Raw genomic sequence first — 26598 nt, 5'->3', positions numbered from 1 at the left:
TAAAGGACAAAGGCACGTGGCTCAGCTACGGTCAGGCAGGAGATGGCTGAGCCAGGGCGCTCAGGGGGACACTGCCAAGATCCAGGACACAGCTTGGAGGGTAGGGCCATGACAGGCAAGGAAACCCCTTTTCTGAGGGCCTTGGGCTTCCAGGTGGGACCCCAGGGAGAGACAGAGCCACGGGCTCCACTCAGTCAGCCCCTGGTCCACTCAGCCACAAACCCAACCCCAGGATCCTGAGCGCTACGTGCAGCCCTTTCTCTCCACTGGTTCATTCTGCACACAGCCACTGAGCGCAAGGCCCCACGGGGGCTGGGTAGAGATGAACGAACTCAGAAAACTGCCAGCCCAGGTAAGTGAGACCTCAGGCCATAACTACTTCAAGTCCCAGTGCCAGGTGAACCTATAAGGGGCCTAGACAGGAAGAAGGCAAGTGAGCAGCCAAGAGCACCCAGCTCAAACGACCTGGGCTCCCATCCTGGTGTGACTTTCTGGGAGATCCCAAGCCTCAGATGCTGGAGGACAGAGTGGACACCCAGCCCAGCACACAGCACACTGTTGTCAGCAGTGGTCGTGACCACCATTTGGTGGGTTGGCTGCTATCCACCCCACCAGCCCAGGATATCACTCCCCTTCCCTCTGAGCCCAAGCGAGGACCACACAGTCAGTGGAGGACCAGTGACTGCCTTGGGGCTAACCCAGGCCCACAGGACCCAACATCATGCCCTGCCCCCTACTCCAGCCCCCCTTACTCATGCTCCAGCTGCTCTCCTTGAGATACACCATGCTGTTTAATGCTTCCTCCTCTGCCTGAAATGACCTCCACCCCTTCCCATGCAGAGAACTTCTACTCATCCATCAAGACCCAGGTTAAGAGTCCCCTCTTCTGCTAGGCACCCTCATTGCCCACTTAAATCCAGCATCTTCCTCATCTCTTGTCCCAGTGAACAGTACCCCCCGACCCTGCACTGTTTGGTCTGTGCCTGCCCTCACTCCATCCTGGGTAGGGTCACTCCTGTGGCCCCAGTGGAGTTGGATGGGAGCAGGCCTGTGGCCAGTGTCCTGTTAAGCCCTTAGTGGAGCAGCTAAGGTCAGACCCAGATGCCCAGTGGGGCTGGGACTGGTTCCACTACAGCTCCAACCCCAAAAAACATACATAAAGAAAACTAAGCCAGGGCAACATAGCAAGACCCTATCTCTAAAAAAAAATTTTTTTTTAATTAGTCAGGCATGGTGGGGTGCATCTGTAGTCCCAGCTGCTCTAGGAGGCTGAGGCAGGAGGATCACTTGAGCCCAGGAGTTTGAGGCTGCAGTGGTCTATGATCGTACCACTGCACTCCAGCCTGGGCAACAAAGTGAGACACTGTCTCTATAAATAAATAAAATAGCCGGACGCAGTGGCTCACGCCTGTAATCCCAGCACTTTGGGAGGCCAAGGCAGGCGGATCACTTGAGCTCAGGCGTTCAAGGCCTGCCTGGGCAACATATAGAGACAACCATCTCTAAAAAATAATTAGCTGAGCTTGGTGGTGCACACCTATAGTACCCGGAGGAGGCTTATCCAGGAGGATCGATTGAGCCAGGAGTTCCAGGAGGCAGTAAGCTATGATTGGCCACTGCTCTCCAGTCTGGGCAACTGAGCTGGAGCTAAAATTAAAAAATTAAAAACAAAATAAATAAAAAGAAAAATACTCTCTGCTTTTAGCAAACCAGCACCCTCCAACAAAAGTGCAAGAGGAAGTCTTCAAGGCATCAGGCTGTCTTCTGCCGGCCTCGGCCTGGGTCACCCGGCTGGACCCCACCAGCTCCTTCTGCACCCAAAGACAGCCCCTCTGGGCAGGGAGGGGTCAGGGGCGGGTCCCAGCCGCAGGACCCCCAACCACAGGCCAAGGTTTGGAACAAAGGCGCCGCCACACCCCGCCGCCCGCCCAACCGCGCCCGGCCCGAAGGAGCCCCGCAGTGGGGATGGAGGAGGGAGCCCCGTGCCCAGTCCGCCCGCGGGGAGCTGCCCGCAGATCGACAAGCCCCGTGCCGGCCTGAGTCCCCCATCCGCCCGCCGGGACGGTCCACGCCCGCCTTTGTTCCCCCAAGAAGCGCGTGGGCGACCAGCAGCGCCCGGGGCTCGCGGCCCTGGTCCAGGGGCTCGGGGTGCGGGGTCCAGAGCCGGAAGCTCGCGGCCCGGGTCCCGGGGCTCGGGGGCCGGGGCTCGGTACTCACGGCGTCCACGCGGCGGGCATGGCCGGCTTCCCCGGGGCGATCCACGCCCGCCTCCCCTGCGAGCACCGGCACGGCCCCGGGCCGCGTCCCCCGGCCGCCGCCGCCTCGTCCCGGGCGCCCGCCTCCCGCCGGCCCCAGCTCCGCGGCCGCGGCCCGGAGCCCGCCATGCCCGCCGGCCCTGGCCTGGCAGCCGCCGGCTCCTCCCCTCTCGGCGGGGGACTGGGCGGGCAGGTGAGGATCCCGGCGCGCCCCTCCCGGCCCCGCCCCCTGCCGCGTCACCGTGCGCGGGAGGCACGTGAGCCCCCTGCGGGCCTCAGTTTCCCCACGCTGCAAGGAGGTTGGTGGGCGCTTGGGACAGGAGGCCCACATCTGTTGGTGCAGCCTGGAATCAAGAAGCCTTCGATGCAAACGAGGCCTCCCGCTCCACTCCCCCAACACCTGCCAGTCCACACAGCTTGGTTGGAAATCCACGGCCGGCGCGGGAGCCTCGGCTCTGAGGCCCCGCCCAGGTCCCATCCCGCCGGGCCCTTGCAACCAGCTCCCTCGGGAAAGTGGCCTCTGCAAAACGGCACCTGCATGGAGGGCGGCAACGGGGCAAGGGATCGGGCACGTGCCCCGCCCTCACCTTCTCCACTTTCCTGCGGGACTCCATGGGCCTCCAGCCCCGGATTCTCCAAGGAGCCAGGGGTCTGGTCCTTGGCACCTCCCACCTGCTTGCCCAAACGCAGGCACCTCACCCAGGAGAGTCCCCTGGGGTGGCCAAAGGCCGGCAGAGGCCCTTGCTGGCCTCCCAGGCATCCTGCCTCCTCCATCTTCCACCTGCAAACAAGCTGCCACCAAGATGGGCCAGATGCAGGTGTGGCTCTAACAGCCTGGGCCTGACCCTACCTAGCTGTCCATCCTGGGCACCCACCCTGGTTTCAAGGCCCCACCTCAGGCCCGCTATCTGGACTTCTTCCCACTGCACCCAGCCTTCGAGGCTCTGTCCCATCTCTGTGCCTCTGTTCTCAGTGCCCTTGTCTGGCCTGCCTCAAGGATCCCACCTCCTTCCAGCCGCCCTGCCAGGCCCCTCTCCATTGCCTCTTGGCAACCCCCTCCACTTCCTCTCCTCAGGCTTCCTCTGCCTCCAGCCCCCTCCACCCAGCACAGAATCAACACGCACACCATTCCCATCACTGCTCAGTGCTAAACCTCTAGGGCCTCCTCATGCCAACCTGGCCCTTCCTGATTCAGCCACTCCTGCCCTCTACCTTCTGTGCTCTTACGCCAGCCAGACCCTATGGCTCCAGTTACCTGAATCGAGCAAGCACCCACTTGCAGGCCTCAGCCCCTGCTGTTGCCACAGCCTAAAGTTGAAACTGAACTAACCCAGCCATCAAGAGTTGGCTCAAAAGAACATGGATCCTTCACAAACTTCCAGAAAATAGAAGAGGAGGGAACTCATTCTATGAGAGCAGCATTATCCCAATACCAAAACCAGACAAAGACATCACAATAAAACTACAAACCAATATCCCTTATGGGTATAGACATAAACATCCTCAACAAAATACTGGCCAACTGAATCCTGCAACATATAAAAGGGATTCTACACCAAGACCATGTGGGATTTATCCCAGGAATACAAGGATGGTTTAATATTCAAAACAATTAATGTAATACACCATATCAATAGAATAAAGGACAACCACATGATTTTGATAGACGAAGAACAAGTGTTTGACAAAATTCAACACTCCTCCATGATAAGAAGAGTCAACAAACCAGGAATAGAAGGGAAGTTCCTCAATCTGATAAAGGGTTCTATGAAAAACCCACAGCTAACATACCTAGTGGTAAAAGACTGAAAGTTTTTCCCCCAAGAACAGGAACAAGGAAAGGATGTCTGCTCTACTTCTATTCAGCATAGTACTGGAGATTCTCACCAGAGTAATTAGGCAATAAAAAGAAATAAAAGGTATCCAGAATGGAAAGAAAGAACAATTATTCACTGATTAGATTATTTTACATACAGAAAATCCCAAGGAATCCACTTAAAAATTATTAGAATAGCCATGCGCAGTGGCTCACGCCTGTAATCCCAGCACTTTGGGAGGCTGAGGCGGGCAGATCACCTGAGGTCAGGAGTTCGAGACCAGCGTGGCCAACATGGTGAAACCCCCATTTCTACTAAAAATACCAGGTGGCAGGCACCTGTAATCCCAGCTATTTGGGAGGCTGAGGCAGGAGAATCGCTTGAACCCGGGAGGTGGAGGTAGCAGTGAGCCGAGATTGCGCCATTGCACTCCAGCCTGGGGAACAAGAATGAGACTTCATCTCAAAAAAAAAAAATTATTAGAATAAATGAGCAGCAAGGTGGCAGGATATAAGATCAACATACAAAAATCAATTCTATTTCTATATACTAGCAACAATCCAAAAATGAAAGGAAGAGTTAGTTCAAGCGTTCCCTTTTCCAGGCAGTCTCCCATAACCTCTCTGGAGTCCTGTGTCCCTCCCTTGGGGCTAGCATAGCCTTCTCTGCCCCTAACACTGACCACACTAGTTGGTCATTGTCTCCCATCCTCACCAGCTCAGACCCAGCCCAGGGGGGACACCCAGGTAGCCCCAAAAGAAGGATGGAATGTTCACCCTGTGGGTGACAGGGACTGCAAGTTGCCTGGAAGGCACAGGAAGCTGAAACAGAGCCCCTACCCTGGGGCATCACACCCCACTGTGCCCCCGCCACCCAAAAGCTATAAGACCTGGCCTGTGTGTCAAAGTGGGAGGAGCCACTGTGAGGACAGATGGAACCCACCACCTCCTCCTGGCTCCACACCTGGACAAGGCTCAGCAGGAAGAGTTACAGGGACAGGTTACAGTCCTACATGGGTCCAGCTCAGTGGCCAGATAGGGGCAGGCCTGTGAGGGGCTCGTTCCTGCCTGGCTGCTGTCCCGCTGTGGGCAGGATGAAGGCTCTTAGGTGATCATCAGCTGACCCTGGGCAGGGGGACAGGTCATGACAAGGGCAGGTCATGTGGCACCCTCACCTCCCCTGGGAATTCCTCGCTTCAGGGACAGACGCTGACACCCACAGCCCCTCTCCAGAGGAGGGGCCATTCAAGGGGAAACCCACCCCTGCCACCTTACTATCCTCTGCCCCACCTGGCCCTGCCCTGTGCCAGGGGGTGATACCTGGCCAGGAGCCCAGTGCCAGGCCAGGCTGAGAGCAGAAAGGGGAAAGGTCGGCTGAGGCTGAGGGTGATGATGGGCCATGGAGGCCGTGGTGACCATGCTGCTCTTGGGGAAGTTCAGCCCAGCTCACAGAATCTGGCCCCACTTGTGCTCGGGAAAACCAGGGGGCATCCCCAAGGAGCACCCACACTCCTAGCTGGCCAGGCCTCCCTGGCTGTGCTTCTCAGTGCCCAGCCCCTCTTCCAGGGACCTGATGGTTAAATTCCATTCATTCATTCCAGGGGACTCCACAGGCCTACCTGCCAGCTCTCTGGGTGCTTCAGTCCCTTCCTCTGTAGAGGCAGACACCCTGGGGGGACCTGTCACCATGCTGCTGCGGTGTCGGCTGAGTTAACATGGGCAGGAGCTGTGAGGGAGAGTGCTGAAGATCTGGGTTCACATCCTTCCTGGGGCCCCTCCTTCCCCTGAGCCCCCACCTCCTCCAGTGTAAAGTGGGTATGGAGGAGTCCACTCTCAGAGTCCCCTGACACCTCTGCAGCTGCTCTCTGGGGCAGGGCTCTGGAGACACATGGGCCAGCGTTGGGCGGCCAAAGCTGGTGGTGGCTGCTGGGCTCCATGAGCCCTTCCAGAAAGTATGTGATCTTTGCATGTGTGCACACGTGGAGATTTGCATTTGAGCCTGTACACTTGTGCGTGTGTGCGTGTGTGTGTGTGTGTGCACATGCACATTAGGGAAGACGGGGCACCTGGGATACACTCTCCAGGTCTCTGTTTCTGTGCTCATCTCCCTACCTTCTCTCAAAGTTGCAATTGGTTCAGGTGACCCCAAGGCCTGAGGCTGCTGCGGTGGGGGGCAGAGCAGTCAGGTGAAAAGTGCTCAGTCCCACAGAGACACCCCATCGGGTTCCATTTAATGCAGGCTCTGTGGCTCCCACCACCCTGGGGCCCCATGAGCCCTGTGGCGTGTGTGGTCATGGCCTGTGCAGGCCCTCATGTGCGCTGTGTCTCTGCACACCCAGTTAATGTCACAGGTGGTGCACTCACACAGGACGTGCACATGAGCTGCACAGCTCGCATGCACACAGGCGTGAGCCCCTGCATAGGAGCAGGGTGGGGGCTCTGGGAGGCTGGGCTCCTGCAGGATCATCCTGGCTGTGGTAAGGGAGCCAGCACCTCATGTGACCACAGGGTCAAGGACTTACTGTTAGTGGTGATCAGGTTGGCCCCATTTGTGGGAGCCACAGGGCAAGTTGGGGCTGGGGATCCAGCCCAAAGGGAGAAGATACCAGGTCACCCTGTGCACTTTATTCACACGCTCATATATGCGCATCCTGTCACACTCATGCATGTACAGTTAACACTCACACCATCCACACTAACACATATATACACACTCATTCTCCCGCATGCCCACTCGCTCTCATGTTCTCATACACACTCATGCACTCATGTCTACTCATACGTGCACACTCACACCCATATGTATACTGATATACACATTCATCACACTCACTCATGCATATGCAAGCACTCATTCACACACACACAGCCTCCAACGACCAACAAGACCTGTCAAGTGCGGTCTTCTGTGTCTCCGTGTCCTGAAGCCTGAGCACAGAATCATCACCACCACTCCCAGCCCTGCCAGGGCCCAGTGCCAAGCTGTACCTCACAGCTCACTAAATCGACCAGGGTCCACCTGAGCTCAATACTTTACTTCTATTTTACAGACTTGGGTATAGAGGCTGGGAGAGGATCAGGCCTTGTGCCGAGCGCACTGGGCACTCCCTGTGGGCCAAGCTCTGTGCTTCTCAGTGATCGCCCCATCATCCAACACCTTGAGCTTCAAACCAGAGTCCTCCCCAAGTCACTGACGAAGAAACTTGGCCAAAGTCACACAGCCAGTAAATGGTGGCTCACGCACCACCCCCGGCCCAGCACAGCCACGGCCCAGCTTGGCGCACAGTGGGTGGCCGGTGGTGGGCGTGGGATGTGCAGATGGGGCGGCTTCCACCTTGGAGCCCTGGCTGCCCTGCCTCCCCACAGCTGTCTGCTCTTCCTTTTCGGTTTCCCTTGTTTCCTTCCTGTTCCCAGAATCTTTCTCTGTTAACATAATCAAAACCAAAATTCTCCCGTAAAGGCCCAGTAACCAGCTATGCCAGAGAAGCACTGCTGGCCAGGGGCAGGGTGGCCCAGCCTGGGCTCTGCGAGCACAGCCCCAGCCCGGCAGTCCCTGAGGTCCCTGCGGGTCCTCCACATTGCAGGTTTCAGAGCATGGCACTCCCCAGGTGGGCAGCAGGGACCTTGTACAGCTCTCTCCGTTACCCCCCCACAACAGAAACACACACTCACATACACAACGTGTGTACTTAGGACCCAAACACCAAGGCCACCCTGCAGGCTGTATCATGAGAAGTTCCCGGACCTGGGCCCCACCCCAGCAGGCTGGCCCCCGCCTCCCTGTCGGCCGCATGTGATGGGGGGGTGGGGGGGGTTCTAAGTATCACATTCCCTCTCTGGCCTCCCCCTGTGCCTGCCAGCTCGGGGGCCTCTCAAGGCAGACAGAGGCCACTCTCCTCAGAGCCTGTTGCCTTTTGCAGGCTCAGGGCCACCTCCTGTGGGCTCCCACGGCCAGCCCCGAGGAAGGCTGTGGCTCCCACGTGGGGCCCCCTTACTGGTTCTTCAGGTGCTAGACCAGTGCCGCCTCCCGAGCCCCAGTCCTGGGGCCGCCCCACTGACCTGATGGTGCTGACCCAACACATGGCCCTCCGTCCTCGTGACCTGCTCGGGGCCGGTGTCCTGGGGCCCAGGGAGGCCATGCGGCTCAGGGGCCACCAGCCCAGGCAGCCTACATCTCCCAGACATGTGAGGCCTGACGCGCCTGGCTGCCCCACAGCTGTGCCCACAGCTCACTCCTGCTGCTTCTGAGGCCTGTGGCCGCCGGTGCTTCCTCCCCACCCGGGACTTCCTGTTCCCTGCTCCCTGGGCAGCACCAAGTAGCCGGCACTTCCTGCCTTCTACCCTGTGAGGTCCTGAAAGCTGCCTGGGGCCCAGGGCTGCCCCTCATCCACCATCCGGGTTTTAACTCCTACCTTCCACTGCTCCTGCCCTCCCATCCTGTGGTCAGAGGCCAGGGCTCTCTGGCTCCAGCGCAAGGTCAGCTGCATCCCTGGGAGGAAGCTCCCTGCTGCCTCCCCGCAGGGCCACCTCTGAATACTCGGCTTCTCCCTAGCAAACCATGAAACAACCTGCACCCTGGGTGTCAGGCCCAGCACAGAGCAGCATTTACAACACACACAGGGATGGTGTCACCTTACCAGCATGCTCTTCCTGCCAGGGCAGCTGCTGCCACCCTGCTCTGCCATCTGAGGCCACACAGAGGGCTGTTATGTCTTGCACCCGGTTCTATGAATTTCAAGGTGGCCATCTCTGTGCCCTTTGACACCAAGGGACTGAGGGACTAGGCCTGGGCTCTGGCATTCCTCGATTCCTACTCTATCCCCAGCCTTTTCACGTCCCCGCAACCACACCAGCTCTGCTAACATCTGGTTTGCTAGAAAGTACATTATGGCTGAGTGGCAAAGCACGCTCCCGTACTCACCGGCCCCTGCCCCAAGGCCCGCTCAGAATTCGGCCCCTCCCAGGGCTGCTCTGCCCCCACCAAGCCCAGTGCCCTGCCCAGGCCCAGAGCCCGGAAGCAGGGAATGGGGATTCTAGCCACTGGCTGCTGAGCGCCCTCCCTCTCCTCCCAGAACTTGCCCAGGGAGGACAGGACCCCTGGGCAGAGGCAGCTGGAGAAAGGGGCTTTCTGGGGCCTGGGGCCACCCTCACAGCAGGATTTGAGGGTGACAGAGGCCACAGAGCACAGGCCACAAAGCTGCAGGGGTCTCATCTTGCCCGCCAGGCTTCCTAGGGCACGGCCCCCCGAAATCAGCCTCCCAACAAACCCTGGACCCCAGCCCCGTAACCGGCTGTGCAGGTCCCAAGCTGTCCCATAGCCTAGGTGTCGGGTCACTCAAAAAAGGCAGCTCCCAGGCTAAGGAGCTCCGTCTCCCCAGCTGTGTCTGCAGCCCCAGCCCTGCTGCCAAGGTCCCCCTCGGGGCCCGTTTGGGCTGCAGACACCCCACTGTCTCCTAGAGGGTGAGGAGCTTGGGCTTTTAGGTCTGGGGCCTCCTTAGCATGGGCACAGACACCCTGGCGTCCCCAGCCTGTGCCAGCCTCAGTCCCCTCAGGTGGCCAAGGGCAGACCACACCTTCAGCAGAAGGCTGGCCACAGCAGGCAGACAGACAGAGGGCAGCGAGGAGGGCACGGACAGAGTGGGGCCTCTTCCCATTCTCTTTCCTCCTTGCAGGAGGGTTGAGATCAAACAGCAGGTGAGGAACCCCTGGGCCACTGCCCAGCCTGGACGATGAGGCAGGCAGTTCTGACAGTTGGGGCTGCAGGGTCCAGAGGAGGGACCAGGCCCTGTGGGTTCTGGACTGGGGAACGCCTCCCAGAGGAGGGGCCCAGCTTTGATAGAGGAGGAAGTTTGCTGGAAGGAGCTGGGGTGAGGGAGCCACGGGAGGAAGGGGCTTGGGGTGAGCACACCCCAGGGTTGGGAGGAATCCACAGGCAATGAGGTGGCCAACGCACAGCTTCAGGGATGACAACCCATGAAGATAAGAACCCAGAGGCAGCCGGCGCTCTCAGGAACACGCCACCCCTTACTGGGCAGGCAAATGCAAGAGCGGACAAGGCCTGAGCTGGAAGCAGGAGCCAGGCTCGCCCCTGCCCTTGCTCCGCCAAAAGCCCCACACTCATAGACTCGGCAGAGGCAGAAGCAAGCAGAAGACCCACCTGACCCTGGCCCAGGCCCATTCCCCCCACAGCCCTGGTCCAATGCTGTGATGCTACAGGGGGAGTCCAGCCCAGAGGAGAGGAGCAGGCCAGGTGAGGGGACCCTGGGGGTGGGGGACAAATCCACACCAGCCCCTTCCCCAACCCTATCTTCCCAGAGGGAAGCTGGAGCTGGGAGTCCTGGGCTGCTGGGTGACCTCTGCAGACCCCTCCTCTCTGGGCCTTAGCTTCTCCAATTGCTCTCTCAATTCCTCTTCATCCCTGCGGCATATGACACTGCCGTTCATATTCCTAAACACAGGCCATTCTCCCCTCCTCAGCCATGGCCACTCCTTGACATTTACCCTGTGCCGGTAACCATGGAGATGACCCCACGCCTGCATCCAAGCAGGGGGTGTGTGCAGCGGGGCATGGCCGGGGCCGCCTCAATGGGCAGCCCTGGTGTCCCTCTCCATCCTTCCCAAGTTGCAGCTGCTCCCCTGCCCCTGAGCTGGTGCCTCAAACTGCCAGGCTTGGGGACTTCCCACCATGCCAGACACAGGGCACTTACCAGGATGAGTGGGAGCCAGCCAGCAGGGCAGGCAGAGGGCCAAGGGTCAGCCTGAAAAAGAAGAGGGAGGGAGCTTTCACTGGGTTCTGGGAGCCTTCAGCCCGCTCAGGAGTAAGGCAAACACCCAGCACAGTGGGTGGTGTCTGCAGCCACCACGGAGCTGACCCTGCCCTGGCACCTCCTGCCTCACGGCACCTGCCTCATCTCAAGGCTCACAGCCCAAGAGGACAGTCCTGTTGCCATCTGCATCTCTGGGGTTCAGAGAGGAAGCTAGGGATCAGTGGCATGGGGACTGGCACCCAGGGACCCTGTACCCAGCCTGGTACCTGCTTGCCACCTTCAGGAGAGGCTCAGGTGCTGAACATGCCAAGGAGGGTCTGCAGAGCTCAGGGAGGGCACTGAGTCCAGGGGAGAGAGGGAGGGCATTGAGCCTGTGGGAAGGTGGACACTGAGCCCAGAGGAGGGAGGGAGGGCACTGAACCTGGGGGAAGGTGGGTAATGAGCCCAGGGAGGGAGGGAGGGCACTAACCCTGGGAGAAGGTGGGCACTGAGCCCTAGGAGAGTGGGTGGGCACAGAGCCTGGGGGAAGGCGGGCACTGAGCCCTAGGAGGGTGGGTGGGCACAGAGCCTGGGGGAAGGTGGGCACTGAGCCCTAGGAGGGTGGGTGGGCACAGAGCCTGGGGGAAGGCGGGCACTGAGCCCTAGGAGGGTGGGTGGGCACAGAGCCTGGGGGAAGGCGGGCACTGAGCCCTAGGAGGGTGGGTGGGCACAGAGCCTGGGGGAAGGCGGGCACTGAGCCCTAGGAGGGTGGGTGGGCACAGAGCCTGGGGGAAGGCGGGCACTGAGCCCTAGGAGGGTGGGTGGGCACAGAGCCTGGGGGAAGGTGGGCACTGAGCCCTAGGAGGGTGGGTGGGCACAGAGCCTGGGGGAAGGTGGGCACTGAGCCCTAGGAGGGTGGGTGGGCACAGAGCCTGGGGGAAGGTGGGCACTGAGCCCTAGGAGGGTGGGTGGGCACAGAGCCTGGGGGAAGGTGGGCACTGAGCCCTAGGAGGGTGGGTGGGCACAGAGCCTGGGGGAAGGCGGGCACCCCCAGGGAAAATCTCAAGCTCTCAAAATAAGATGTTTTGCATGAGCCCCTCCCATGGGGCCTGGGTCCGCTCCACAGCCATCCCTGGGACCCTCCCAGGCTCTCCCCAGCCAGAAGCCCCTTCCCTCTATGCCCCATTCTGATTGCTGTCCCATGATGCAGGACTGGGAGGATTCCCGGGAACTCGGACTGGGCACTACCCAACTGGGATAGAGGGAGAGGGAACCCTAGAAAGAAGGACCCTGCCTGGGGCCACATGTTGTAGTGGGCTGAAAGGTGGCCCCCAAAAGCTTTGTCCACATCCTAATCCCCAGAACCTGTGAACACGACCTTATTTGGAAAAAGGGTCTTCGATGTAACTAAGTTAAGCAGCACATCCTGGATTGACCAAGTGGGCCCTAAATCCAAGGCAACTGTCCTGTAAGAGATGGAGTAGGAGAAGATGCCTGGAAAGGACCATGTAAGGATGGAAAAGAGGCTGGAGGGATGTGGCCACACACCAAGGGCACCGAGGATCGCCGGCCACCAGCAGAAGCTGGGAGGGGAGGAAGGGGCTTCCCCAGAGCCACCGGGGCAACACAGCCCTGTAGACCCCTCAGCTTTGGACTTCTGGCCTCCAGAATCATGAGAGTAAATTTCTGTTGTTTTCAGGCCCCTCGTGTGTGGAACTTTCTTAGGGCAGCCCCAGGAAATGAATCCACACGGGGACTCACCTGAGTCCTTCCCCAGGATGAACTGCAGGCTCCACTTAGTCTGATCCCGAGTGTGGGCGTGCCTGTCAGGGAGAGACAGGCTCCACAAGGCTGTGACCAACCTGGGCGGGCACTGCTGAGCTTGCCTCCGCAGGTGCCCACAGCCTCCTGAAGGCTGGGCTCTCCACCTCCCACCCTCCTGCACACAGGGTCCACCAGCCTCACCTGCCATGCCTGACCCACACCCGCCAGGCTTGCTGACCCCACCTCCTGGCCTCGCGTTCACCCCTTTGGCCTGCCCTTCCTTGTCTCAGGCCACATTCACCACGGCGCAGCAGCGAGGTTGGTTCCCTGTCCACGTGGATGGGGTGCGGCGCCTGCTTTCCCTTCCTGCCCTGGGCCCCCGACACTGGACCTGTCATGCACTTGCCCCATCCTGGTACCTGCAGTCACCTCCACATGGAAACCAAACGCTCCCTCATCCTTTGAGGATGGAACCATCTAGAACCTTGCCCTCTTCTCTGAAATCTCCAAGTCAATGGCACAGTTCTGCCACCAGCATTACCCCATGTGTCCCTGGCACTCCCCACGGGTCCAAGTCCCACTGAATCTCCAAGGCCCAGATGGGCACCAGGCCCATGGCAGGACCCAAGAGAAGGACAGACAGACAAACAGATGAGTTCACTGTCATGTCCATACATGAGGCCAGACCCCAGCGAGGTTGTAACCAGTACATCCTTCAGAGCTCAGAGTGAAAAAATTGTGACTTAGCGCTAATTGGACTCTCAATGAGAGAGGTTTTCAAAGAACTGGAGTGCAGCACGGCCGCAGCTGAGGCCCTTCCACACCCCTGGACCTCTGCCCAGTGAGACAAGCCGCCGGCCAGCCCTGGGCACGCACGTGAGGCTGCTCGCTGCAAAACAGAGAAAGGCTGGTGCACTGGAGACAGCAGTGTTCCCAGAAGACGCAGTGTGTTCGGGGCTCAGAGGCCCCAGGGGCTTCACAGAGCGGTGCAGGGTGGAGGCAGAGACGGTCAGGCCACTGCTGTGTGCAACGGACAAAGGGAATTAAGAAAAATGCAGACAAGGGCCCTGTAGGCACAGCTGCCTGCATGGCACCTGGGCTTCAGAGAGCAAGGCCAAGCTGTTGGTGGATGCTTGGCCCTCAAGCTCTGTCCTCAGAGGGAAGCTGCAATGTTCTCACATCTCCGGATGCCCCACTGGGCCTTCCTCTCTCAGGCCTGGTGTCTCTGTCCCCAGGAAAGGTTCTTGAGATGGGCATGGGAGTCGGGACTGCCCGGGGGCCTCCACACCTGGAAGAGGGTTGCCCTAGGCGGAGCTCTGGCCTGGCCAGGCAGGGGCCGTACACTGGCTGGAGGGAGGAGGCCAGGGCGGGCTTCCAGGCCGAGGGTGGTGAGGGTGAGGTGGGGCTGGAGACGGTGAGGTGGGGCTGGAGACAGTGAAGTGAGGCAAGGCGAGGTGGGTCTGGGGGAAGCCACGGCTGGCACTGCTGCTCGCCTGGAGCCACTCTCCAGTCTCAAACCACAAGCAGCAGAGGCGGCTCAGGATTCACACTTCAGTTCTTCACAAACACTGACGAGTTTCTACCTTTTAATCACTTGAGAAAAAATTCTCCAGAGTCCTGATGTGTGGGGTGGGCCGGGTCCACCACCCCAAGTTCCTGGCTCCCACCCAAGGCTGGGGCCCACCTCCTCCCCACCCTGCCTCGCCTCTCCTGGCCTGAAGGGTTTCACTGTCCCTCACCGCAGCCAGCCTGGGCACCCTATGCCCCAGCCCCGCAGGGTCCCGAGAGGGGCGGCAGTCCTGCCCCACCCAGTGGCTCCCACCAGAGAGGGCCGCTCTATGCATGTGACCTTGGCAGGCAGAATAGAGCCGTGGTCAGCGTGCAGGCTTTGGTGGGAACAAGCCTGGCTCAATCCCCTCCTCCTGGCCTGTGGCCCACTCTGAGCCTCAGTTTCCTCACTTGAGCAGTGGGGGTGGGGCAGCTGGCTGCTGGGCTTGCTCTAGTGTCAAGGGAAGGGAGGAACCGCCCAGCTCAGCGTCCGGCCGTGCTTTTCCTTCCTGCCTGCGGGCCTGGCCTCCAGAACAGGCGTCTCCCCGCGGCCCTTGGCACAGACAGAGCCACATTCCCAGTGCCACACCCCTTCCCTCTCTGCACCTTGGCAGCAGCAGTGCCCTCCACCTGGAACGCCACCCTCTCCACCTCCTCTGCCCCGCCCTTGCCCCTTGGCCCCTCATCTAGACCACACTCCCCTGGGCTGGACCCCAATCCGCAGGCCCTGGGCCTTCTCCCACACAGGCTCAGTCCACGGCAGGGCCCCCACTCCTCAGAGAGGCAGCCCCCACCCGGCACCCCCCGACGCTGTGGCATTTTCAGCATGTCTGTTGGCTATCTGCCCCTCCCCTGACACCAGTTCTGTGGGGAGAGATCTCTGCATGTCCGTCCCCCATGTCCTTGGTGCCTGAACAGTGCCCAGTGTGACACTGGCACCAGGTGCCTCCTGCAGCATGAACAGACCTCGTCCACACCCCAGCTGGCTGGAACCCCTACTCTCCGTGGGGCCTAGCTCATGGGCTCATGTGCTGAATTACACCATCTGGCCAGCCCCAGGCACCCCACTTCTTCCATCTCGGGGGACCCCTGGCTGCAGGAGGGGGGCACTCCAGGGGCTCTGCACCCACCAAGCGCAGCCTGGGCCTCCAGGGTGACCTCCCGGCCCCAGCATCCTCATCGATAGGCAAGGGCAGCAGCAGTCACTGAGCAGATCAGCTGTGGCCGGGACACCCCACGCCCACACCAGCCTGGCTGCTGACCCTCCGGGCCCAGGGGGTGTGCTTAGGTAGGAAATCTGCCGGGCACCTTCCTCATCTAGAGGAAGCAGAAGCAGAGGGCTCCCGCCAACCAGACCCTCCTGGGATGCGTGGGACGCCTGGGCCACGGGCACAGTGGGTGTGAAGGTTGGGGGTGCTTCCCTGCCCACAGTCACCTCTTGTGATAGGAGGGCTAGGCTGCTGGACCAAGGGAGGGGCAGGGAGCCCCCAAGGAAATGTCCACTGTGTTCTGAGTGCGCCAGCTCTGTGCCCGCTCCATCGCCAACTGCTCGTTTTGTTCTCCCGATTAGGACCTCGAGGCTGAGTGAGCTGCAACGCTTGGCTACCCAGCCAGCGTGGCTAGTGTCACCCAGAGCCTGGGGCCACCTGGCCCACCCCTACAACACAACCTGAGGGTGCCCTGAAAGCCTTATGGCCCTGGCAGGGCCCCTACCAGGCATTTCCTGCTGAGCCTGGCTCTGGGGTGGGTAAGAAGGAGAGGAGAAACCCCAGGCCCACTCTCAGAAGGAAGCCCACCAACCTTAAGGACAGTGGGGGTGGGCCCTGGCCTCTGTGGAGGGGGCAGGGCTCTGGGTAGGAGGCCAGGGGACACAGGGTGGGCCACGCCATGTGGGGTACAGGGAGGAAGCTACCGCAGGGCCCAGCTCAGCAGGACAGGAAGGCCTGGGGAAGCAGGGGCTCCAGCCCACCCTTGAGGAGTTAGGAGCTGCTTCTGTTTTAAACTGATCCCAAGAGCCCCTGGGGAGGCTGGTTGGGAAGCTCTCCCAGGCCACAGCCCCCTTTTGGGTCCCGCTCAATGCTGCTGGTTCCCTTGAAGAAAGAGTGGTCTGGTGCTCACCCTAGAGAAAACTCGGGCAAAGAAGCAGAGCTCCAGTCCTCAGTTTCCCCAGGAGTAACTGGGGCAGTCCCGGAGCTGCTGGACCCAGGACTTAGTGCTGAGGCTGCACAGAGGGCGGGGTCCACGCATCCGCAGAGACTCGGATGAGGAACAGGAGCAGGCGGTGCCGGGACAGAAGGAGACCCCCAGAGAGTTGCAGTGGAACCCACCAGGCAGCTGAGGAAACCGAGAGCAGGAAACCGAGGCCAGGGAATGGTGGAAGGTAGCCCACCTATTCAGTGGGCTCGGCTGGAGTCATGGTGAGGCTGGTCAGCCGGACCCTGTCTCTCTTGCACAGTGTCACTCCACTCGGCCTGAAGTCTCATGGTATCGGGCACAGGGGAGGCACTCAGGCACAGCACCTACAGGCAAACGCCACACCCTGCACCCGGGATCCAAGCTACTGTCACCCTCTGTCTGGGCTCCCAATCTGTTAGGGAGGCAGCCACCTCTGACTCACATCCTTGTGACATCTGTTCCACCCAGACACGTTGACACATCCGCCAGCGTCCTGGGAGCAATCTTCCACATGAGTTAGCCAAGCATGGGATTACATAGAGTCAGACAGAGCATAGCTTGTGCAAAGGCCCTGGGGTTGCAGGTAAGAGAAGGCACCCACCTTCTGACATGAGAGACAGAGGTGGGTCTTAGTTAGAACTGCCAGTCCAGGCCACATGCCCAGGTGAGGCAGACAGCATCTCAGACCTTCCCTGGGATGAGCTCCTGGGCACCATTCACGCCTGGGCTCCAGTCCCAGCCTTGGTCCCTTAAGCTGGAGACTAGGGGCAAGTCACTTCACTCCCTGAGCCTTGCTCCGTCCTCCCCCTCCACGCTTATTAGCAACAGGACTCTGAGGACCAAACCAGACAGCTCCCAAGCACTCTGCCATAGGCACTTGGCCCAGCACTGGGTCCCTAGGCCCTGGAAGTGGACAGCACCCTGCTTATCCCGGATCCCAGCACCAGGGCGAGATAACAAGGGAACAGAGTGGAGATGCCGAGGCCCTGGGGCTCCTGCTGGGGTGGCATGCAGTAGGGGCGCCAGTCAGAGAAACCCAGCCCCACTGCTCCCACCCAGAGCCAACGGCAGAGGTCAGGAGCCACCACGATGGGCACCCTGTGTAGGCAGCTGTGTAAGCCCTACAGGGTGGGCCTTGGGACCGTATAGCAGTAAGTGGCCTGAGAGCCCTGCGCCGCCTGTCCCTTTCACTCATCACCGTGGTACTTTTCGTACCGTGGCGGTCTTGGCGGCCTCCCTTGGACCGCACAAAACCATGCAGCTCCTGCACACACCTCGGGCTCAGCCCAGGCACTTTACGGCGTTTTATCTGGACAAGCTCCTGGGTCAGGGCAAAGGACGCTGGGGCCCAGGCGTGGCCCCCATCATGGCTCCTCTGTGCACCACTGAGGGTCCTTGGGCCCCTCGCTTACCCAGGAACCCTGTCACCATCTGTCAGCGGGTGCCACAGGCTGGGACCCACCAAGGCTGAGTCAGCACAACAGGGTCCCTTCCCTCTGTCCACTCATTTCAGCACTTGAGGGTTAGGTCTTTCTGCTGCCTTAATGCATTCGCTGTGATCCTTTTTCCCTAACGTTACGTGTGTGTGTGTATATAGATATACATACATACATATATACATATATATATACACACACACACACACATATACATATATATATACACACACCACATACATACACATATATACACATATATACACATATATACAAACATATATATACATATACACATATATACATATATACACATATATATACACACACACACATACATATATATATACACATATATACAAACATATATATACATATACACATATATATACACATACACATATATACACACACATATATACATACACACACACACACACACACACACACACACACACACACATATATTTTTTTGAGACAGAGTCTCACTTTGGTGCCCAGGCTAGAATGCAGTGGCACGATCTTGGCTCATTGCAACCTCTGTCTCCTTGGTTCAAGCACTTCTCCTGCCTCAGCCTCCTATAGCTGGGATTACAGGTCATACCACCACACCCAGCTAATTTGTATTTTTAGTAGAGACAGGGTTTCACTATGTTGGCCAGGCTGGTCTTGAACTCCTGACCTCAGGTGATCTGCCGGCCTCGGCCTCCCAAAGTGCTGGGATTACAAGTGTGAGCCACTGCGCCCGGCCCCTTTTTTTTTGAGATCAGGTCTCTCTGTCACCCAGGCTGGAGTGCAGTGGCACAATCTTTGCTCACTCCAACCTCTGCCTCCCAGTTTCAAGCAATTCTCACGTCTCAGCCTCCCGAGTAGCTGGGATTACAAGCATGCGCCAACATGCCTGGCTTATTTTTGTATTTTTAGTAGAGCCGGGGTTTCACCACGGTGGTCAGGCTGGTCTTGAACTCCTGACCTCAACTAATCCACCCGCCTTGGCCTCCCAAAGTGCTGGGATTACAGGCATGAGCCACCACGCCTGGCTAATATTTTTAAACTGTTTTCTAACATGGGTTTTTTTCCCGGATGTTGTTCGTTTTTACTCTCTGGGTTTATTATTCTATTCCCTTGCCTTCTGCTTCTTGTCATTTTTTATTCCTTAGTAAATTTTAGGTTGGCCTCAGGAGGTTTCCTGTCTAGGCTGGGTCTTGTCCTTGCGCTGGCTTCCTCCTGGGGCCACTCACAGGCCAGCACAGGTGGGCTCAAGGCGACAGGCCAGCCCCTCTGCTGGGGCTGCAGCAGGCATCGGGGTGGGAGAGCAGGCCACAGCCACTCCCAGGCCGGGGTCTCTGGCCGGACAGGGGAAGGGAGATGCAGGCAGGCCCAGGAGCAAGAGGGAGGCAACAGGAAGAGGTGCTGACAGAGAGGCAAAAAGAAGGAAGAAGGAGTGGGCCAGACCCCGGGTTGGGGAACCGAGAGCTGTGTGTTCCTCCTCAGCCTGGGAACCCCAGAGCCTCGGGGCCCGGGCAGGGGACAGGATGACTCATGCCCGCTGGCTCCTGTCCTCACCCTCAGCGTGGCCCAGAGGGGGCCTGGGTGACCTGAACGTTCCCAGGCCCCTCACAACGCTCCACTGTTCAGAGAGGCCCAGTGAGGACAAGGGTCTGGCGGTGGGCCCGGCCTGCCGGGAAAGGAGCCCAGCCCCCAGCCTCTGCCGCAGCCTCTCTGCACCCCTGCAGTCTGGGCCCCGGTCCTCCGCGGTCAAGACAGGCAGGGGTGGAGTCTGGATCAGGGTCTCCTCCTCTCCGCCCCCAACCATGCAACTGTCCAGCCCCCTTCCCAAGGCCAGGCCGCCCACAGCCCAGCTCCTTCCTCCCTCGGAGCCAGCCTGTCACAGCCTTTCTGCTGCAGCCTCAGCAGAGGTGGCTCTCAAAGACAGCTCCGCTCAGCCTCAGGGCTCAAGGCCACCCATGCCCTACCTCGCCGGACACCTCTCAGGCTGTTCCACGAGTTCCTCCAGCCGTTCCCCACCTGCAAACTCCCGCCTGGCCTTCTGCCCCCGGCCAGGTCACCCCAAGACACCCCCAATGCCCTTACTGCTCCCTGGGGATGGCGCTCCAGGCCAGGTCCTTCCTCAGAGGGGTGAATGGCTCTAGTTAGGGTCCCCAACCACCACAGCCCCAGACCCGTGGGAGCCGAGGCCTGAGCTCTCCTGCCTGCCCAGCCTCCCTGCACCCACCCCTGGCACGGGAGCCCGAGACAGCCTCCCCAGAGCCCCCAGGTGAAGTGCCACCTGGCCCGTCATCAGCCCGGGGGGGGGGCGGTCACAGGACAAGCACCTCCACGTACTGCTCGGGTGGCAGTAAGACTCTGGAGTCAGCAGGGCCTGTAAGCAAGCCCGCCGGTGTCTGCCCCTAGGGCCTCCTCCTGGCTGGGAAGCAGCCACGGGGCAGGCTCGGGCAGCTCAGGCAGGGGCAGGCTGCATCAGACAGGGAGGTGGCACAGCCCGGTGGACACTCTGGGGACACAGCCTCAGGAGTGACTTGGGGATGCCCTTTCCCTCCCCAGGGAGGCAGCTCTGGACCATGCCACTGTCTGCCAGAAAAGCCAGCCAAGGAGGAGGGAGACTGAGCCGGGGACAGTCAGTCCCACCAGGGCCAATGCCACCCCAATCTCAGCAGTCTGCTGCTCCCTCCCCTTTCATCCCCTGTAGCCCCTGTGCAGGGGTCACCGACCCCATCCTGGTCACGTCACCTCCTCCACTCCCACCCAGCCTTCTGCAGCCTCGACGAACCCACTTCTGTCTGTGGCAGCCCCCACCCTTTCCCCAGACCCCGCCCGAGCTCCTCATGGTCTTCTTGTGGCCACTGCTTGGAGGGCGTATGTTCGGCAGTGGTCTCCAGACCCCAGAGTAAGCTTGAAAACATAAGCCAGCCCCTGCTGGAAGCCCCACCAGGCCCTCGGGCCCCACCTCTCTAGCCCCTCTCCCTTTTCAAAACCAGGGTGTCTTTCACACAGCCTGAGCCCTCAGCCTGGCCCCTCCTCCTGCTCCCCCTCAAGGAGGCCCCCCCGGGGGGATCCGTGAGGCGCCCCTGGCATCTTTGGTGCTGCCTTTTCCCAGCTTCGTACTGGAAGGGCCAGGACCCTGCCTGCCGCAAGGGTGGCTCTGGGTAGGTCTTCGAGGGGGCCTGGGTCCCAAGTGGGTCCCCCCTGCTTCTCAGGACACCAGCCCTGGAATAGCTGTCCCCTTGATGCCAGCCGGCAGGAACCCTGGCATGGGGCAAGGCCCGCTAGATCCTCTGCAGAGGTGGGGGTTGGGGGTCCTTTCTCAATCTTCTTCCTTCCCCAGCAACTTCCTGCCCCAGAGGCAGGCACAGCCACCCCGACCACAAAACATCACCCTCCTGGTCACATCCTCAAGAAAATGGGAAGGTTGATCTCAGAGAGCCCCTGCCCCAAGTAGCAAACCTTCCTGAAGCCAGCACCCAGGACCCCAGGATGGCTCAGGGCTCAGAGGTGGCCACTGCCCCTCCCTCCACTTTACACACCCAGGGCCCCATCCCACCTCATTAGGCAGCTGCAGCCCAGGGTCTGAAGCTGAGCGAAGTCCAGTCGCGGTGAGGGTCCCGAGGGGAAGGCATTTCAGAGATTCCACCCCCAGGGTCCCGCCTGGGAGCAGCTCCTCCGGTGGGGAGGAAGGAGCCACCTGTGGGGACAGGCAGCCAGCAGGGGTACAGCAGGAACGAAGTCCTGAGGCAGGGCGGGTACGGGTGGCGGGTGGAGGCTGAGGCTGCACCCCTGAGCGCCATTAGTCCTAATCAGCCCGGAGGCCTCGATGACCTGACGCCGGCTTTGGAGTTTCCCAGGCCCCGTGCTGCGTGCAGCTCCTGGGGGGCCACTCCCACACACCCCGCCCCAGCAGCTGGATGGGCACACCCTCACCCTCACGCATCCCATGAGGCTGCACTTCCTGTCCCTGCCCTGCCCAGAGAAGGCGGAGGATGCCCAGGTCACACGGCCTGGCCTGGTGGAGCCACCTGAGCCACCCAGCACCTGTGTTCCTAGAGGTCTCAGCCTGGGAACGCCTGAGGCCACAAGAGGTGATGGCAACGGGAAGTCACTTCCCCCAGCTCGGGGGATGCACCCCCGTCATCTTCCCCTCTGCCCTGGTCAAACTCACTCTGCTGACCACTGATCTGCCTGCCAGGCCAGGCCCCAGCACTATCTGCCCAGCCATCAGCGGACCGCCTCGGGCAGCGCCAGCCACTCACCCCACTGGAAAGGGGCTTCCCTTTCTGGCCTCGAGTAGGAGGAGAGGAAGCAGCTGGGGTCAGGGAGGGGCGTTTCCGAGAGAGGAGATGAGTGCCGAGTTTCCTGGCCTGCCTCCTCTGGCTCTGAGCCTGGTCTCCATGCAGGGCTGTGTACCCCCACCTGCCACTCAGGGCTCCCAGGCCAGCTTTTCTGGATCTTTCCCCATTGCCCTCCTAATGGTGAGAAATCCGGCCTTTTGCTTGGACTTGCCTCAGGTGCCAGCTCTTTGGGACCCAAAGCCCTGGTGGCACAGGTAGGCCAGGCTAACTCCAATCTCAAGCCAACACACGTTTAGGAAGAGCAGCTACAGAGAAAGAAAGCACTTTCGTTCAGGGAGAGGACAGGGGACACCGACTCCGCTCGGCGGCTCTTCCTCACCAGGCTTTGGTCCTCCCTATCTACCGCTGCCAGGGCCACCGAGACCAGGCCCAGAAGCAGCTGGGTCCCTGCTGCCGGGTGGCAGGCAGCGGTGGCTGTCACAGCGCAGCCCGCAGGGGGAAGGGAGGAGGCTGTGATGGAAACCTGAAGAGTTTCGTGGGAGACCAAAGCACAACAGTCTGATATTATCTGATTGGAAACTCCACCAACTGGGCGGCAGCTGCCAGGCTGACTGGCACATTAGGCTCTGATGCTCAGTAGAGTTAAACACAGGTGGGGGGAGTGACAAGCCACCTTCAAAGAGCTTGGCACAGCCCGCCCGTTGCCCGCGCCACTTCCCTGCCCAGGAGTGGGAGGCTGGGAGAGCCGGCACTCCCCTCACCCTTCCTCTGGGACAGGCCCACGTGGGCACCACCAGGGCATGGGCTCTCAGACGCGACCCTGACCTTCCTGAGTTCCCAAGCAGGAGGGGCAGGCGGACAGGTCACCATGGATGGGTCAACATGCATGGTGGCCATAGACCAGGCTGGGGGCTCAGGAAGGCACCCAGCTCAGGGTGGAGTTGGGGGTGGCCAGGGAGGGTACCCTGAGCACCAAGCAGGACAGACACTTATGTCTTCAGCTGAAATTGCTTCTAAGGGAGAGAGTGGCAAGGTGGGCCAGGCAGGTGAGCTGCTACCCATGGGCACCTGCCAGCGGTCCTGCCCTCTGACCTGTGGCCTGTCTGCTCTTGCAGTGCATGCCTAGCCCAGGGCCCAGTACACAGGCACCCAGTGTTGCATGAGTGGGGCCCGGGGCTGGGCAGCAGCCTTCTGAAGGAGGTCCACCACTGCCCCAGAGGCAGAAACCAGGGTGGGTGGTAAAGGCGCACCACTGCCCCAGACTCCCAAGGCTGAGAAAAAGCCAAGGACCGCCCAGCATTCCAGGCTCCCAGAATGACCCCTGATCCCTTCCCACCTTGTCCAGGGGCAGCCAGCAGCAAGGGCCCACCCCTATGCCTAGCTCAGGACAGTGGACAGGGCTGCAGGGCATGGGGACCCAGGACCCTCAAATGCCACAGAAGAGCATCACTAGATTACAACACCCCTGGATCGAGGCTGAAGGAACTCCCCCAAACGGAGCTGCCCATTCACACAGTGTCAAGGGCAGGGAGGCCCTAGCTCGGGCCTGGGGATCTGGCCTCCCATGAGTTAGACCTACTTTCACCCCATTTCACAAGGAGGACGCTGAAGCCCTCAGACGAAGCCTGCTCTGAGCCCAGAACTCAGCTCCCCTCTGGTGCCTGAGAGAAGCTCTGTGCCGCTTCCCTCGGCCCCTGCCTCGCGGCCTCAGCCCCGTGTGCCATGGCACGCACACTGCCTTCTTGAGGCTGTTGCCTGCCAGCCTGGCTGACCCTGGGGTGGGGAGCTGGCCTCCCTCTGCAGGCTTGAGCAGACAGGCACCCTACGCCCCACCCAGCTGCCTGGAGCAGGCTCAGCAGGAGCGCAGTAAACATCTGATTCACAAGGAAGCAGAGGGCACTTCTTGGAATCAGCTCAGCTACAGGGATGGGGGTATGGATACCACGAGGGCGCTCTGCCAACCCCTCAGGGCTCCTCTGATCTCCCCAGGCAACTGCTCCAGGTGGCCGAGCCCACATTCTTCCCAGAGGCCAGCTGACAAAGATGGACCAGATGTGACCGGAATCCATGAAGAAAGGGCCAGTCACCTCAGGGCGTTGGGGCCAGCAGTTCCAGCACGATCTGTGATCGGGGGCCGGGAAACCAAGCAGGGCCTGACCACTCTCATGGCCTTGGAAGTTACAGAGCCTGGGGAGAAGAGAGAAGGTTGGGGGAGGGCACCTTTCTCCCCTCCTGGGAGCCTGCACCACCTCGAACTCCTGTCTGACCCAGGTCTCCACCCGCCCCGAACCTGGGCACGTGCTTCTCTCGCGTCACCCTTGAAGGATGAGTGTAGTCAGGGGCCCGGCACGGAACCCAAATCCAGCAGCGTGGTCCAGAGCCAGGGACTTCTGTCATCCCGTTTTGCAGATCAGGAAACTGAGGGTCAGGAAGTGCAATTCGCCTACAAGGCTCAGGTCTCCTGGCCCGTGGCTGAGGGCCAGTCCCTTGCTCTTGGCACCATCCTGTCTACCCTCCCGTGCACAGGCCAAGGGGTGGTGAGGAGGGTCCAGTGCCCCAGGGAAGGGGGCCAGCCAGTGAGCCTGAAATGCTCCCTACCACCCCCTCTGGGACTTAGGCAGCCCACACGTGGGACTGTCTCCAGCCCCTCGGTGTCCAGACAGGGCCACCAGAAGAATGCAGAGGCCTTCTGGGGAGGAGCCGCCTATCCTGGAGGAAGGATTCCAGGGTCTGCACGGCCCCTTCTCCTTGCCTCCCAGGCCCCTCCATACCCTCACCACACCTGGCATGCAAAGGCCACTCCCGTCAAACTGGTCTCCCACCCTCCCTACCGCCCGCCTTTGGCTTAGTCTGTCTGTACCTGCATGGCTGCCCGCCCGGCTCAGATCCCTCCTCCTGACGGCCCACCCTGTATTCATTGGCCCGAGGGGTGGGAGCCGCTCCACTGCGTCTGGGGTAGGACAGCTCTCACCTTGTGGCAAATTCCCCGTCTTTTCCCCGCCAGCCTGCCCTTCTCCTCACCCACCCAGGCTGCACAGTGATGGCCAAGCCACCCGGTTATTAAAGAACTATATACTCTGCCAGGCGTGGGGGCTCACGCCTGTAATCCCAGCACTTTGGGAGGTGGGCAGATCATGAGGTCAAGAGAGGACAGAGAGTGAGGAGGGCAGAGCCTGCCACACATAGTCACTGACCTGGGGTGTCCCCACAAGGGAGCTTTTGAGGACAGAACGCAGGAAGACCCAGGGGCTGCCCAACACTGGCCACTCCTGATGGACTCAGGCCTTAGTCCAATGTGGGCAGGAACCTGGGAGCCTTGGCCTTTACCCAGGCCTCTCCAGGCCAGTCCCTGCCCCCACCCAAAACAGGACATACAGCGGCCCTGAGGACCAGGGAGAGCACCCTCAGCGACCCACTGTCACTGAATACCAAGCACATGTCACCACCACCACCATCCCCCCTACGGACACTCATAGCCACCCACCAGGTACAAAGTGCTTCACAGCCCTCAGGTCATGGATGAGAAAACGGAGGGGTGGCAGGGGGAAGCCTCCTGGCCATGATCACACAGCTGGAAACTGGTGGCATCTGAGTTCACACCCAAGATCCTGGCTGAGTTTGCGCCCTTCCTCCCTGCCCCTCAGGAACCAAGGCTGGCCATCTCGTCTCTCTGGGCCCCTGGACTTCCCGTCTGTGGGCCTGCTTGTGTGCGTGCATCCCTGGGGGGTGGGGAGCTCCAGCTGACTCAGCACCCTGCTTCCTCTGTCCATGTGGGCAGAAAGGGCCAAGGCAGGCCCAGAGCCTGTCCTCCCTCTGTCTGCCTCTTCAGGCCAGCCTCCTTGGTGGGCTCCCCCATGATCCTGGAGGCCTGGGGACTCCCTGAAAGGCCAGGTCCCCTGTCAGCACCCCTCTCACCAGATGGCCCTGGCTGGCAGTTCCTAGACACGGCTGCCTATCTGTCTTCCTTCTGCCTGCCCCCTCCAGGGTGTGCCTAACGCAGGGCACAGAGCCAGGCAAAGGGAGCCTGGCGGGTGGCAGGGAGAGGGGATAGACAGAATCCTCACTCCCTTGCAGCCCTCGTCCCAGGCCTCCTGTCCTGCCAGGAGTGGAGTGCCTGGAGTGGGGCCCTGAGGTTGGGCTCCAAGAGGGCCCTTCGACGGTGTCTACGTAGAGGAGACAGTGGACAGAGTGGGAAGAACCAGGAGGGGGTGGAGCCCAGCCCCTCCTCTGGTCCCACAGGGCCTGAGCCAGTGAGGGCAGGAGCTTGTCCAGGCTCATGGAGTTGGTGCAGGGCTGACCTGAACCCAGAGGCTTGCTTCGGCAAGGAGGAGGCTGTGGGCCCTGCCTTCAGGCGGTTGTGGAAACAATTCTACACATTGCATCACCGGCCCATGTCACCTGCAAGGCCACACACATGTCATCCAGGCAGGCTGTCCACCCCAGCAGCCCACACGGAGTACCCGCCCCTGGCCACAGCCAATTCGAAGGACTTAAGTGTGGCCACTAGACCAGGAGGCACAGCTGTCCCCAGTGTCAACAGATGAGCAAACT

General features: G+C 60.4%; 1 protein-coding gene across 4 annotated transcripts in view, besides 10 other annotated features; it reads right to left on the bottom strand.

The window, feature by feature from the left end:
• SH3BP2 (SH3 domain binding protein 2) overlaps positions 1-26598 on the bottom strand; it is a 48012-nt gene that overhangs the window by 20489 nt on the left and 925 nt on the right. The window contains exon 1 of one of the 4 annotated variants that reach the window (NM_001145855.2): positions 8131-8317. The exons of 1 other annotated variant lie outside the window; for it this stretch is intronic. In NM_001145855.2, the coding sequence (NP_001139327.1) occupies positions 8131-8210 (80 nt within the window). In that variant the 5' untranslated portion in view covers positions 8211-8317. Of the gene's footprint in view, positions 1-1537; positions 1795-2217; positions 2439-8130; positions 8318-26598 lie in introns of those variants that run through there. 2 more of the 4 variants (NM_001145856.2, NM_003023.4) reach the window with 2 other exon arrangements.
• Positions 19-520: an enhancer, noted in NCBI's record as "H3K4me1 hESC enhancer chr4:2821815-2822316 (GRCh37/hg19 assembly coordinates)". NCBI's record gives its function as "activates a minimal SCP1, AML or CMV promoter by ChIP-STARR-seq in primed H9 embryonic stem cells {active_cell/tissue: H9 hESC(primed)}" and the evidence as "EXISTENCE:reporter gene assay evidence [ECO:0000049][PMID:30033119]".
• Positions 1917-1996: a silencer, noted in NCBI's record as "silent region_15186". NCBI's record gives its function as "represses an Ori minimal core promoter by ATAC-STARR-seq in GM12878 lymphoblastoid cells {active_cell/tissue: GM12878}" and the evidence as "EXISTENCE:reporter gene assay evidence [ECO:0000049][PMID:35858748]".
• Positions 2027-2096: a silencer, noted in NCBI's record as "silent region_15185". NCBI's record gives its function as "represses an Ori minimal core promoter by ATAC-STARR-seq in GM12878 lymphoblastoid cells {active_cell/tissue: GM12878}" and the evidence as "EXISTENCE:reporter gene assay evidence [ECO:0000049][PMID:35858748]".
• Positions 2357-2596: a silencer, noted in NCBI's record as "silent region_15184". NCBI's record gives its function as "represses an Ori minimal core promoter by ATAC-STARR-seq in GM12878 lymphoblastoid cells {active_cell/tissue: GM12878}" and the evidence as "EXISTENCE:reporter gene assay evidence [ECO:0000049][PMID:35858748]".
• Positions 6414-6463: a silencer, noted in NCBI's record as "silent region_15183". NCBI's record gives its function as "represses an Ori minimal core promoter by ATAC-STARR-seq in GM12878 lymphoblastoid cells {active_cell/tissue: GM12878}" and the evidence as "EXISTENCE:reporter gene assay evidence [ECO:0000049][PMID:35858748]".
• Positions 7174-7273: an enhancer, noted in NCBI's record as "active region_21191". NCBI's record gives its function as "activates an Ori minimal core promoter by ATAC-STARR-seq in GM12878 lymphoblastoid cells {active_cell/tissue: GM12878}" and the evidence as "EXISTENCE:reporter gene assay evidence [ECO:0000049][PMID:35858748]".
• Positions 7648-8732: an enhancer, noted in NCBI's record as "nonconserved acetylation island sequence 125". NCBI's record gives its function as "activates a minimal heat-shock promoter by reporter assays in Jurkat T cells {active_cell/tissue: Jurkat}" and the evidence as "EXISTENCE:reporter gene assay evidence [ECO:0000049][PMID:17135569]".
• Positions 8224-8463: an enhancer, noted in NCBI's record as "active region_21190". NCBI's record gives its function as "activates an Ori minimal core promoter by ATAC-STARR-seq in GM12878 lymphoblastoid cells {active_cell/tissue: GM12878}" and the evidence as "EXISTENCE:reporter gene assay evidence [ECO:0000049][PMID:35858748]".
• Positions 19309-19358: an enhancer, noted in NCBI's record as "active region_21189". NCBI's record gives its function as "activates an Ori minimal core promoter by ATAC-STARR-seq in GM12878 lymphoblastoid cells {active_cell/tissue: GM12878}" and the evidence as "EXISTENCE:reporter gene assay evidence [ECO:0000049][PMID:35858748]".
• Positions 21763-22102: an enhancer, noted in NCBI's record as "active region_21188". NCBI's record gives its function as "activates an Ori minimal core promoter by ATAC-STARR-seq in GM12878 lymphoblastoid cells {active_cell/tissue: GM12878}" and the evidence as "EXISTENCE:reporter gene assay evidence [ECO:0000049][PMID:35858748]".

Source organism: Homo sapiens, chromosome 4 (assembly GCF_000001405.40).
Source record: "Homo sapiens chromosome 4, GRCh38.p14 Primary Assembly".
Taxonomy (NCBI): domain Eukaryota; kingdom Metazoa; phylum Chordata; class Mammalia; order Primates; family Hominidae; genus Homo; species Homo sapiens.
Note: the sequence above shows the minus strand (reverse complement) of the source record. Positions and strands in the feature narration are given on the sequence as shown.